We start from the raw sequence: 14672 nt of genomic DNA on the forward strand, positions 1-14672 counted from the left end.
GATTCAAAATTCAAGTGTTTAAACACTTTATGAATCTTCCCGTTGTTCTTGACACATTTTTAAAATTTCATTTTAATTCAGATCATTAGGGATGAAATTCTCCTGAATTGTAGCATTTTATTCCCTTTGGGAAGAAGGGGCTGAATTTGGCATAATTATACTTGACTATACCGTAAAAGAAACCAGATCTAATATAAGGACATCAATACTTAGTTATTAATTCATTTGCTTATATTTATATGTCATTTGAAAATGTGTATTAACATACACAATTAAAGGGATATAAAAATGAACATGCCCTCTCCATTTCTTTAAAAGAAATCAAGGCTGAATCAAACAGGACTACTGTTCTGAAAGAATACTCAGACTATGAGGTACCTTATTTTCCTTCTTTTACACCTGTCTTTCAGTTGGCTTCAAAAAATCATGGCTTTTACTGTGTTTCTTTTTTCCTTTATGTCTTCCTTTTGAGGGAAATGAAAAATTGAGAAAGGAAATTATTATTTTATAAGTGGGTGGGTTTGAATACATCTTTCACAGTCAAATATTTTTCTATGCCTTATGAGCTTAAAAAATAAATTTAGAAAGTTTGATAAACACAGAAATTTTTTATTTTATGTTATTTTATGAGATGAGGGCTTGCCATGTTATCCAGGCTGTCCTGGAACTCCTGGGCTCAAGCTATCCTCCTGCTTTCAGCCTCCCAAGTAGCTGGAACTACAGGTGCATATGACGGCACCTACTGAGAAATTTTTACTATCAACCTAAAATTTAATAAGTCCTGGTCACAAGTGAGGAATTTTTAATTTGTTATTTAGATTATTTTTGTGTCAAGGTAACTTGATCACCTATCAATAATGCTTATAAGAAAATAGATATCTCATCTGTTGCTGTTAGAAAGGAATCTGTCTCTTTCCCCAGTTCTTGCTTCAATGAGGTTTCCTTGACCCAGAGTCTGGTCCTCACATTTTAGATTCAGCTTTGGGAATTTTGTTCAGGAACTGCATCATACAACCCAAAAGCAAAAGAGGAAAATGCATAAGCCAGGATACCTAAATGTTCATTTATTTAAACTTGAAAATGTGACTGCAAAAGGAGTCAAGAAGTTTAGTACTCAACACATTTCTTCTTTGTAGAAATAACTGCTCAAGAAGATAAATTGTTACCTAACAGTTGATTGATGAATATGAAATCAGAGCAAGAGGGGCTAATTAGAGATTTTACTAGCTAGGGCTATTTACCCAAACCATCTATCCAGACTGTAGACATAGAATCACCAGATGGCTAGGATCCTGGTGCAGCTGGTTCCCCTTTTTCCTTACCCTGAATGTCATTAAGGATGCATTGCCAAATGCTGCCCCTCTGGCCTGATGACTACACTCCATATTGGTCACCTGCCTTCTTTTTCCTACAGTCTTCCTCCAGACAGGCACGCCATACAACCGACTACACTTGGGCTCACTGAATGAATCACATTCTTCTGCTGTGCCTCCCAGAGATTTCATCAAAGCACCCGCAGTGGCCTTCTGGAGGCTCCTCAAACTCTCCACTCAATGTTTCCTGAAAGTGTCGTGTTTCTCACCTCTAGATTGTTATTCTCATCAGTTACATGTGGGTTTCACAAATTTATTTCTCAGAATGCAAGTCTGTCTCTTATATCCTCGGGAAACACACCTTTATATCCCAGTTAGTACTGACAAAAATTAAACTAGGGACTGGCCAAAAACAGTGCCTTTCCTCACTTTAATCTCACTAAAGTAGATAAGACTCAAGTTATTTTGTTCTTGCAATGGCATTGACAAATGTTTGCACCAAAAACCATGTTGAAGTTCATTAAGGAAACTGTGATCCAAGATCCAAGGTCAAAAAAACAAATTCATCAATTCAGCACACCACCAACTCACAGGCTAAGCATCTTACTGCTAATTCATTGATGCTGCCATTTGTCAAGTGCCAAATTGAATTATTGATTTGTCAATAATTTCCTTCCGTTGGTTACTTATATAGTATATTGCAATTCTTGTTGCTGAAGTCAGCTACACTTTTTCTATTTGAAAAACAATTTCTTGCATTTGGGATTTCAGGTATAGTGATTGTTACAAATATGAAGGACTTGAATTAACAGCAAGTTTTCAAGTAAAACTTTACTTATGTATAACTGAATGAGTTCTTAAAGACATTTACTAACAATTTTCCACAAACTAAAAATTTATAAAACAATAAATAAAATAGACTTTAAAAAAAAGCGTGTCACACAGCTGCTTGTTTTTTGTTTGTTTCTTTGTTTGTTTTTTAGTAGTGAAATGGTGAAAAATCAGACAATGGTCACAGAGTTCCTCCTACTGGGATTTCTCCTGGGCCCAAGGATTCAGATGCTCCTCTTTGGGCTCTTCTCCCTGTTCTATGTCTTCACCCTGCTGGGGAATGGGACCATCCTGGGGCTCATCTCACTGGACTCCAGACTCCACACCCCCATGTACTTCTTCCTCTCACACCTGGCCGTCGTCAACATCGCCTATGCCTGCAACACAGTGCCCCAGATGCTGGTGAACCTCCTGCATCCAGCCAAGCCCATCTCCTTTGCTGGCTGCATGACATAGACCTTTCTCTTTTTGAGTTTTGCACATACTGAATGCCTCCTGTTGGTGCTGATGTCCTACGATCGGTACGTGGCCATCTGCCACCCTCTCCGATATTTCATCATCATGACCTGGAAAGTCTGCATCACTCTGGCCATCACTTCCTGGACATGTGGCTCCCTCCTGGCTATGGTCCATGTGAGCCTCATCCTAAGACTGCCCTTTTGTGGGCCTCGTGAAATCAACCACTTCTTCTGTGAAATCCTGTCTGTCCTCAGGCTGGCCTGTGCTGATACCTGGCTCAACCAGGTGGTCATCTTTGCAGCCTGCATGTTCATCCTGGTGGGACCACTCTGCCTGGTGCTGGTCTCCTACTCACACATCCTGGCGGCCATCCTGAGGATCCAGTCTGGGGAGGGCCGCAGAAAGGCCTTCTCCACCTGCTCCTCCCACCTCTGCGTAGTGGGACTCTTCTTTGGCAGCGCCATCGTCATGTACATGGCCCCTAAGTCCCGCCATCCTGAGGAGCAGCAGAAGGTCCTTTTTCTATTTTACAGTTCTTTCAACCCGATGCTAAACCCCCTGATTTACAACCTGAGGAATGTAGAGGTCAAGGGTGCCCTGAGGAGAGCACTGTGCAAGGAAAGTCATTCCTAAGAGGTGTGACATTTGAACTGCCAGCCTCAGTTGTCACGTGGACTCTTGATGCCCAATTATTGCCTCAATCCAGAAAAGTTTACTTCTCTTTATCTGTGCTTTACTGACAGAAGGGCAAGTCTTCTCTCGTTTTTTGCAGATAAAATTTTAGATGTGTTGCATTCATTGGGTTTCTATGAGATGTGGTTTTATCAGACAATTTTTTCTTTTATTTCACAATTACTTTAATATCTGTAAAATAAAGAATTATTTTAATTCATTTTCCCAGTCCCAAAAGTTAAATACAGGCCACTTACTTCTTTAACCAAATGATATAGTTTGGCTCTGTGTCCCCACCCAAATCTCATGTCAAATTGTAATCCCCGCATGTCAGGGGAGGGACCTGGTGGGAGGTGATTGGATCATGGGGAGGGATTTCCCCCTTGCTGTTCTGTTGATAGTGAACGAGTTCTCACGAAATCTGATGGTTTAAAAGTGCAGCACTTCTCCCTTTGCTCTCTCTCTCCTGCTGTGCCATGGTAAGACGTGCCTTGCTTCCCCTGTGGCTTCCGCCATGATTGTACCTTTCCTGAGGCCTCTCCAGCCATGTGGAACTGTGAGCCAATTAAACTTCTTTTCTTTAGAAATTATCCAGTCCCGGGTGGTTCTTTATGGCAGTGTGAAAGCAGACTAATACACCGAACTATATAAACTCACTAACGGCATATGTCATAAGATTTAAAAGAAAATAAAAAGGTTCAGCCAAAGAAGTGATTCCCAAAACCCAGCAGCACACTTGTCCATTCTCACACAATTGCACTTTCCCTGTTAAATAGAGGGATTTAGTTAGTTGTGTTGCATGCGCTGAGAAATTTTGTGTAAAACTTATTAACTCATGTACGGGAGTTAACTAGTAGGCTGAGTGAAGGAACAAACTTAAAAGAAGAGATAAGTCAGGCACAGTGGCTCATGTCCGTAACCCCAGCACTTTGGGAGGCTGAGGTGGGTGGAACACTTGAGGCCAGGAGTTTGAGACCAGCCTGGACAATGTGGCAAAACTGCATCTCTACTAAAAATACAAAAATTAGCTGGGCGTGGTGGTGCATGCCTGTGATCCCAGCTATTCTGGTGACTGAGGAATGAGAATTGCTTGAACCTGGGAGGCAGAGGTTGCAGTGAGCCAAGATTGCGCCACTGCACTCCAGCCTGGGAGACGGGGAGACACTGTCTCAAAAAAGAAAACAAAAAAGGAAAACAAAAAGAACATATATAAGGGAAAAGAGAGAAGAGAAGCAAAAGAACACTACAGACCGTGTGGGAACAGTGAACAGTGTTTACAAAGTTCAGGGTAAACTCAGTAGCTAGTAGCTGGCAAAGAGGCAAAACTGGGCATTCCCTGTTGAAAAGGCTGAAAATGAGTATCCAAGAAAACTATTTGGGTTGTTTATGGTTTCTTCAGAAAACATTGAGTGTTGAGCTGTGTATTGTACATATGCACATCTGTCTCTAAGCGTGATTCTCCAGTGTCTTTTCATCAGCTCTTCCACCTTGGTTAGTCCAGTTGTGGATCATTTCCCTCATTAGAATGTCTTACCCCTGAAAAAGGAAATTTCACCAGACAGTGTAGGTATGTAGCTAGCTCTTCAACCATGGTGGTGAAGAAATTTTTGCTGAGCCAATCTATTTTCCTGTTAAAAGGTAAACTGAGGCACAATAAAATTTTAAAGAGTTTACTTGAGCAAATAGCAATTCATGAATCAGACAGCTCCAAACTATAAGTGGTTCATGGGCTCCACTAAAGGAATGCAAGGGGAGGGCTTTTACAGGACAACCACGGAACTAAAGCAAAGAAAATATTTGATTGGTTACCTTTATACAATTGCCTTAGTTGGCCTATACTGCTGGAAAGTCTTTAGTTATATAACTTAGTTGGCAGCTTCTGAGTGGTTAATCTTAAATTTCATTTTGCTTTAATACAAGTATTTATAAGAAATAGTTCAAGTTAATTTTCACTTGTGTTTGCAAATCAGTCTGGGTTAGGTCACTTATGAGGCCTAACTGGCTTTCCCTGCTCCAGGAAAAGTGATTCCATAAGTGACCTAACCCAGCCTGAATCATCTAAGTGATTCTCCATGTCTGGTTTCCATTTTAATTTTCTTTAACAAATCTTCACTACAAATCTAATGGTTAGAGATGAGTCCCCATGCATTTTAGGTGGCTTCCCAGAGTGTTACCTATAAATTCTACTTTCTAACCTTCCCTAAGATTAGGATGCCACTTGCTTCCAGAGTCTTTCTCAATTTTACAAGAGAGCATGTTAATACTTTTTCAGCAAAATAAGTGTATGCCTTTCACTTAGGGGTTAACAAGTACTCCACCCAACTCATTATTATTCCCTGTGGGTGAAGATACCCAGGCAGAACTTATTAAATGTAAAAACAAATGAGTTTTTGTAATAATAGCTAACATTTTGACTCACCACTCAATGGCATATGCTACATATTAATAGCACTTTACATGGGCCATTTCATTTAGTCATAACAAATCCAGGAAGAAGGTCCTATTGTCACTATTTTATGTATGCACAAACCAGAAAGCAGCAAGTGTCAGACTTATCCCTAGACAGTCTGGCTCCCAGCCTCTGTACATAGCACATCAATGTAGAATTTTAATATCTATGTTATCAAATAAAGGATAAGGTAAATGTATCCCAAGGCAGAACTATTAAAAGAAGGAAGCTTTCTTTATAGTCTGATGTATGCCACAGGGAGCTGATCTGTTCTCTCTAAGGCGTGGAGGACCAGAGATCATGTATGAGAGGCTGGTTGTCCTGGATGGTGACTCTTATGTGCTGAGTCACATGAAAGCACTGGACTTCTAGACAAATGCAGAACATGAAGAAGATGAGAATAAAGGTAGTTCTCACTGAGACTGGCTATTTAGTTCAGCTAAGACCCAGAACCAACACACCCATAGTCAGTCTCTCTCTCTCTCTTTCTTTCTTTCTCTCTGTCTCTCTCTCTCTCACACACACACACACACACACACAAACACACAGAGCTTATTTACTTTGTGCCAGTCACTGCTCTAAGAATTTTACATGTATTACCTCAATTAATCCTCAAAATAACACTTTGAGTCAGAAGATAATCAATATCCTACCTTACATATAAAGAAACTGAGGCACGGAGAGATTAAGCAACTGGCCCGGTACCTCACAGCTAACAATTACCCAGTCCAGGATTGAACTAAGACAATCTGATCCCTGACCCTATAGCCATAACCACTACACAGCACGGCCTCTATAGAGCATATCTGTGAATAAAGATCAAAGAACTCGTGACAGTGAAAGAAAACACATAATTAAGACCAAACTATGGATATTCAGCTTTAGATAGAAAGGGGTATACATCTTCTAAAGGAAGCAGCTTGACTCTAAACAGAGATGTGAAAAAAGTGGGGGAGTGGTCGCAAGAAAGAACTGTGACTCCAAGGGTCAGGGATGCATGGCCGTGAGGACTCTGGGGTTGAGCTGGAGAGTGAAACAGACAACACTGAACGAGAAGACCGACAATGCAGTGTTACAGCAGTGCCTTACCAATTGATGAGAACTAAAATGGATGTTTTATAGCATTTTATCTAAAAACAGCCCCAAGAAAAAGGAATTCAGTTTCATTATTGATATTTAAAATGGTTATAATCTTTCAGGTGGTATTTACCTGAAAGTTTACCTGAGAACATTGCTCAGGTAGGTATCAAATTTCACATCTAAGATGGGGAGCTCCGCAACAGCAGGAATTGGAATCCATTCATTCATTTATCAGTAACATGAGCACATTGCCTAGCACCTAGTAGGCACTCACTAAGCACTGGCTGCACCAATTCATGCACCTTTAACTATCTGCTGAGTACTTAGACACAATTGTCAGTGTTAAACTATATTCTGATTTCTGTATTTTAAAAATCCTTGGGCTTGGCGTGGTGTCTCATGCCTGTAATCCCAGCACTTTGGGAGGCCAAGGCGGGCGGATCACGAGGTCAAGAGTTCAAGACCAGCCTGACCAACATGGAGAAACCCCGTCTCTACTAAGAATACAAAAAAATTAGCCGGGCATGGTGGCATGTACCTGTAATTCCAGCTACTTGGGAGGCTGAGGCAGAAGAATTGCTTGAACCTGGAAAGCGGGGTTTGCAGTGAGCCAAGATCACGCCACTGCACTCCAGCCTGGGCAACAGAGCAAGATTCCATCTCAGAAAAAAATAAAATAAAATAAAATAAAATAAAAATAAAAATAAAAATCATTTTATCTGAATAACACAGAATAGTAGAAAGTAATTGTAGCTTAAAAATTATTTAGCACTTGTGTACGAGACAATATGTTAAATGTTTTTGATATAATCCTCACATCAACACTGTGAATTAAGTACTAATAATATCCTCATTTATAGAGGGGAAATTGAGGTTTAGAGAATTAATTAATTTACTCGATGTCAACGAAATATCAAGTGGTAGAAATAAAACTGTAGTCCAGTCAATCTACTCTACATTAACTGAGAACCATTCTTTTGGAAAGGGCCTATTGATATTTGTATCTTCAGTGGCTAGACCAGGCCAGTTTCATAGTAGTTACTCAATAAATGTTGACTAAATAAATAAATGAGTAATCATGTAGTCCACACTTCTATATTTTTAAAAAAGGATCTCCATAAAATATGTAATTAAATACAGTGTCAGTCAATTTAATCATGTTTAGCTCCAGATACATTCCGTTTTTGCAAAAGTTTCTTCTGAGATGAATATTAATAAACTACATCTCATCTGTCAGTGGCCACAGAGAAATTGTAAACACATTCAGAGAGGATATTTCGAGACTAATATAAAAGAAAACTAGGATGATATATATTTGTTCCTATCATATAGAACAAAGGTTATAGGTCTTTCAAAAAGACTGTCCCAAATTGCCAAACCCTATGGTTATAGTATGACACAACGTGATTGTGCTGGCACAGTAGCCATGGAGAGAGTGTTCCCCTCCTCTGTCTTGCCAAAGAGTAGAGCATAAGGCACTGTAATTACTGAAAATGACACGGATGACACCCTGGGAGTGGAAGTCAGTGCATGCACTACCTTAAATTGGCCCCCATGGTGTCCTTGGTATGTAGAGTGAGCACTGCCATCACTGACCTGTAGGACCATTCTTTACTCTTTGCTAGGTAATGTAGACCAGTGCTTCTCACATGTCAATGTGTATATTAATCATTCAGGGATCTTGCAAAAATACAGGTTCTGATTCAACAGGTCTAAATGAAATAGGCAGAGATTTGCATTTCTTATCATCTCTCATACCTTGCTGATGCTGCGGATCCATAGACCACACTTTGAATATTAATCATATAGAGATTCATTGTTAAATCTATGGTTCCTAAGAAAAAGTGAAGGCCAGGCACAATGGCTTACATCTGTAGTTCAGCACTTTGGGAGGCTGAGGCAGGAGGATTGCTTGAGCCCAGGAGTTTGAGACCAGCCTGGGCAACATAGTGAAACTCTGTCTCTTCAAAAAACTTCAAACATAAAAAAATTAGCCAGGTGAGGTGGCACATGCCTATGGTTCCAGCTGCTTGAAAAGCTGAGATGGGAAACTTGCTTGAGCCTAGGAGGTTGAGTTCGCAGTGAGCCATGGTTGCACCACTGTATTCCACCCTAGGTGACAGAGAAAGACCCTGTCTCAATGGGGGGGGTGGGGGGTGGGGGGAAGAAAAGAAAAGAAAAAAGAAAAAGTGGGAGAAAAACAAGAGTTGGAATGCTGTCTCACAGCTCTGATGTTTTCCCAGACCATATCAATTTTTCTTACCTTCTTGATGAACTTTGATTAAGAGCCCTGCTTTCATTTGACTTGCTGTTTTGGTTTTTGTTTACTTTTTTTGACCTGTCTCTGTTTATTCGTTTGTTTTTAATTTTTGTAATCTTGTTGGGTCAAGAGAAGAGGTTCACTACTAGGCACGGCCTGGTTTGGTCCTCAGATGACTGGCTCAGAGCCAAGACATCTGGATTCTCTAAAATATTGAAAAAACCAAAGGTGCTTTTCCTACTCCTTTGCTTATACTCACACAGTCACTCAACAATTTACTTCTAACAACAGATACGTTGAGGTTTTTCCCCACACACCTAGCAATCTGCAATGGACACCGACTGCATGCCCTAAAAATCAATTCAATTCTGACACTATCTACTGGGAGACAGTGTCAGATCCCACAAGCCTGTTCCCCCCACCCAACACTACAGATGGTAATTGCAAGCCTCAGGTTGCGACCTGTGCTTCTGTTCAACTGGCTATACATTGGGACTCTCATGACCCCCCGCCTTAGGCTCAATTAATTTGCTAAAGTGGCTCACAGAACTCAGGGAAACACTTTACTTAAGTTTGACCATTTACTACGAAGGATATTACAAAGGATAGAGATGAACATCCAGATGAGAGAGATGCATCTGGTGAGGTATTGGAGAAGGGGCATGGAGCTTCCATGACCTCTCTGGGCACACCACCCTCCAGGAACCTCCATGTGTTCAGCAATCAAGAAAGTCTGCAAACCCTGTTTGGTTTTCTGTAAAGCCTTCATTACACAGGCATGATTGATTACATCATTGGCCATTAGTGATCAACTCAAACTTCAGGCCCTCTCCCCTCCCCAGAGGTTGAGGTATAGGCTGAAAGTCCCAACCCACTAAACATGCCTTTGTTTTTGTAGTAACCAGCCCCTATCCTAAAGTTATTTCAGAGCTCCCTGCCAGCAGTCATCTCATTAGCATACCGTCTAAGTCCATTTTGTGTTGCTATAACAGAATATCACAGACTGGGTAATTTATTTAAAATAGAAATTTATTTCTCAGAGTTCTGGAATCTGGGAAGTCCAATATCAAGGTGTCAGCATCTGCAGAGGGCCTTCTTGCTGCATGGTGAAAGGTGAGAGGATGAGAGAGGGACAAACTTGCTTTTGTAACTAACCCAATCTCCACATAACAAATCCACTCCTGAGACAACACCATTAATCCATGCATTAAGTCAGAGTTTTCATGACCTAATCACCTCTTAGAGGTCCCACCTTTCAACACTGTTACATTGGAGATTAAGTTTCCAACTCATGAACTTTGGGGGACACATTCAAACCACAGAACATACAAAAGATACTCTTATCACTCTGGGGATTCCTAGAGTTTTAGAAACTGTACGCCAAGAAATGGGGACAAAGACCAAATATATATTTCACAAAATTATGGGTTCCTCTCCCAATTTACCACCTACTCACTGCATGACCTTAGAGAAGTCACTTAATTCCTCTGCACATTGGTTTCCCCACATATAAAATGAAATGTCGGACTAGATGATTGTTAAGTTCCTTTTAGTTCTCAAATTCTATGCCTTTTTATTAACTTCCTAGAATGTATGTTGTTTTTCTTTTACATAGGAGACAAAATTAAATGGAATTTTTGAGAATAATTTTTGAGAATTATTCTCGAACTCCTGAGCCTCACAAATAGTAGGAATTCAAGAGTAACCACAAAATTAATTATTGATTTCAATATATTTATGCTGTATGAACTATGAATGGCATAAGACTTGCAGAATAAGGCAAAAGAAGTTTCACATTAACTGTCCTCTCTAAGGAAGTAAAAACAGTTTCATTACCCTATTTGAAAAAGATTAAGAATAACTTTTATTCACAGAGTTTCCCAGATCTGTACATTTGTGCTGGCATTGCACAAGTGACATAATAATATTAATTCCTGGCATTTATTGAGTACTTGTTTCATATCAAACAATGTTTTACACATATGCATTTATGTCTAATCTAATCTTCATAACAATTGCCAGAGGGAAGTATTACTATTATATACAATTTATACATGAAAAAAATCAAGGCACAGAGATGTTAAGTACACCTCAGACAGCTAGTAGGTGGCACAGGAGGACTTTTCTTTAGGTGTTCCAAAGGCCAGAGACTATGTCTGTAACTATTATACTAAGTTATACCAATCTCCTCCAGCCTGGACATATGGAGTCTTTTCTACCCATGATTAAAAGCTTGAGAAAAATGAGCCTGAATTTTTGACTGGCCTGAAATTTCATCCTAAGAAAGAGGATAGTAATGCAGCTAATATATTTTAACATAGGTGAAAAAACCAAAAGGGTAATACACAAATCCATGAGAAAAATGGACAAAAATATGTAGATACAGACAACAGAATAAACACAACATACCAATAAATATGACAATGTCATCTATCTCAATCAGGAAATCTACTATAAAATGAGATTTTTTTACTCAATAGATTGTGAGGGGAAAATGGTGTTACATGTGATGTTGATGACACTCACACATTGTTGGTGGAGGTATAAATTGGCACACATTTTGGATTTAAAAAACTGAAATTATTTACCCAACATTTAAAACACGCATACTAATTCTAAGAATCCATTCTACAGAAATACTTACATATGTAACTGCACAAAGAAATGTGTACATGGATTTGGTATTAAATTGATTTCAAAAATTCAAAAGATCAAGTGTTAATTTTGAAATTACTAAATTATGAAAAATGTTACACAGCTATTAAATAGAACAAGTATTATCTAAAATGAGCTGCAATGAAAATAGCTCATCAAATATAGCTAAATGAAAAAAGCAAGTAACATTTTTATAAGACTTTGTCATTTGTGCAGGGAAATCTCCTAGCTATACATAAATTCGTACACCTGTATATGTGTATGTGAGTACACATGTATGCACATGTGTGTTTACATACATCTGTATTTAATTTCGTGATCTGGAATGATGTACATTAAGTAGTCAACAGAAGTTGCTTTAGGCAGAGGAATGAACTAGGAGAAATAAACCCTTCTATGTTTTTCAATAATATTACAGGAAACACGTATTAATGTTAGAATTTCTAAAAAGCCTTTTCTCAAAAAACGTCTGGCCCCTTAAGTTCTCAAAACAGTACACATTTCTCATATATTTTAGTAAAAGCCAAAATTAAGCAATTATTAAAAGCAGTTTAGAATCTTGTTGGATTGTGCTAAATTGTATCAAAGTGTTTCCTCAAAAATATCATTTTGTATCACTTACATTATTATTCAATATTGGGCTATGTTTAAGTAAGTTAACCTATATTATTAATTAAAATAGTTTGCATGAGAAACCAAATAGCACACAAAATAAACCATGACTCCTCAGACTCTAAGATAACTGCATGACATAAGCAAAAAGTCAGTATTTCATGCCATATGTTGATGCTTTTTAGAATATGAATTGATCTCGAGAGCTCCTAATACCTTAGCTTTAGAGTTACTAGCCCTTCCTCATTCCTCTCATCGCCATAGTAATGTTAAATAATGTATTAGGTAGGATAAACAGCAACAGGTAAACTCCCAAATCACAGTGATTTAACAAAATAAAACTTTACATCTTGCTCATGTAAAGTCCTAGGCAGGGATGACAGACAGCCTTCCACTGGTGATGCAGGGACCCAGGCACCTTCCATCGCATGGTCCCGCCATCCTAGAGCCCTGTAGGCCTTCACTTCCAGCCAGTGATGGGAAGGCCAAACATGGAGGAGGCATGCCCTCCTCCTCCATGCATGCCCTCCTTCCACTGCAGCCCTGGAAGCTGCACAAGTCTCTTCTGCTTGTATACCTTTTGTAAGAACATGACCCCACCTAAATATAAGAGGGCTGGGAAATGCAATCCCACACTGGCAGTTAAGTCCAGAGACAATTGTGCAAGGGAAGAAGACCCCACATCTTTTAAGGAATTTGTCTTAGTTAAGGTAACACTAGCAGCTGAAACAAACCCTAAAAGTAAGTCCTTACAATTATTTCTCTTTTGTTCTCTGTTTCAAAGGATTTCAGATGAACTTCTGCCCTTTTAACTCATAATTATTCATGAAATATAATTGAGAACATTAGCATTTTCACTCTCTTCTCATTCCACTTCTGTCATGCCATCCTGAAGATATATTTACCTATGTCTTGGCTGTTTCTCCGAACATTATTAGCTGCTCTTTTATAAAACATCTCTTAGGATAATTTACTCTGTAAGGTGGCTAAACCCACCCATCTTATGTTAGCTTTTGTCTGTATTACTCTCAAATGAACTCTGTGGTCAAATTCTAAAAGTACTTTAAGCATAGAAGTTATAAATGTTCAATGAAATCAAATGCCCAATGCTGGAAGATCATGTAAATATTTCTCATTTCAATTAATATTGGCTGTGTCGTTTATGTGCTGAGTTCTTTCATATACTTTTGTGTCATTTTTACTGTCTTCAACAGAAGTTATTTCAATTTAATTTTAACAGAATATTGACAATTTTGAGTTATAGCTATTGATATTCATGTTCCTAAAGGGTTTTTGCTAAGTTTTTGTTTGTGTGACATTCCCAAATGTTATACTTACTTACTAATTATTTTCTATCTTTTTAATTTTTATACCCTCAAATGTGTGTTTATAACCAATGTTCCTAAGGTGTTGGTTATATAGAAATGAATTCTCTAAAGCCATTATTCACAGAACTTTCAGCTGACTACTTGCTCCCAAAAGGCAGTTTCCTGATTTCTGCATACTGGCGTATCATGCAAACATCTGTAAGCATATCCATTTCTACTAAGATCGGACTGTTCTGTCTGTGTTATTTTCCTTCGTATACTTTTACGTTTTGTATGTGTTTACTCTGACCATTTTTAGAAGCTTAAGCTTCTTCAACTTGATATGTGATAAATCATGTAATTTGAGGCGATGCATTTCCTAAATTAGTTTGTTTGGCATCATAAAAACCTTATATTTAACTTGTTTTAGCTCACATTTTCTGTTTTCTACCTTAAAATGACTTTTTCTAACTGATGTTCATATGATGAGGAATATGGGAAAAAGTTCTAAAATTGTTGTTTTCACAGGCTTGTCATTTATATCTGTTGCACTTCACCGGGGTGTGGAAAGAAAAATAAAGAAAAGATTCTAATGTTTATGGATGGCCTACTAGGCACTAGACTTTTCATATGATCAGGAGCATTTTTGTGTGTCCCCAAAGCAATTCACTGTGGACATATACAGCTGGAACACAGGTGAGCGTGTTCTCACACCCTGATTACCTGGGCAAGATTTTCCTTGGGTTTATACCATAACCCCAGCAGGTCAAAGACCACATTGTAATAAACTCATTAGTTTGTAAATTGCATAATTGCTTAATATAAAATTCATAATCCTCCTATGTCCAGTAGAAGAAAGAAGTAGAAATAAACATGAAAATACCTTTGACCAGCAAATATCTCCACCCTCCAGGGAGAGGTAGTAGCTTCTAGGGAAACCATCTTGGAGAGGGTCCTGTCTTCCCCTGAGGTGGGCTCTGAATCCAGCACTCTTCCCCTTTCAGAATAAAGATTAGAGAATAATTCTAATACAC

The 14672-nt window shown here is 38.7% G+C and overlaps 2 long non-coding RNA genes and 1 pseudogene across 3 annotated transcripts in view; 2 read left to right on the plus strand and 1 right to left on the minus strand.

Annotated features, from left to right (window-relative positions):
• The window catches only part of ARHGEF35-AS1 (ARHGEF35 antisense RNA 1), a 104269-nt gene extending 101749 nt beyond the window's left edge, over nucleotides 1-2520 (plus strand). The window contains exons 4-5 of the long non-coding RNA NR_126022.1: nucleotides 1415-1611; nucleotides 2297-2520. This is a non-coding gene — a long non-coding RNA (ARHGEF35 antisense RNA 1). The remainder of the gene's footprint in view (nucleotides 1-1414; nucleotides 1612-2296) is intronic.
• OR2A1-AS1 (OR2A1 antisense RNA 1) overlaps nucleotides 1-14672 on the minus strand; it is a 117146-nt gene that overhangs the window by 58497 nt on the left and 43977 nt on the right. Inside the window, exon 3 of the long non-coding RNA NR_126023.1 lies at nucleotides 14522-14635. This is a non-coding gene — a long non-coding RNA (OR2A1 antisense RNA 1). The remainder of the gene's footprint in view (nucleotides 1-14521; nucleotides 14636-14672) is intronic.
• On the plus strand, nucleotides 2452-3436 carry OR2A9P (olfactory receptor family 2 subfamily A member 9 pseudogene; annotated as a pseudogene). The gene has a single exon (NR_002157.1). The product of NR_002157.1 is annotated as an olfactory receptor family 2 subfamily A member 9 pseudogene (transcript).

Source organism: Homo sapiens, chromosome 7, assembly GCF_000001405.40.
Source record: "Homo sapiens chromosome 7, GRCh38.p14 Primary Assembly".
NCBI lineage: Eukaryota > Metazoa > Chordata > Mammalia > Primates > Hominidae > Homo > Homo sapiens.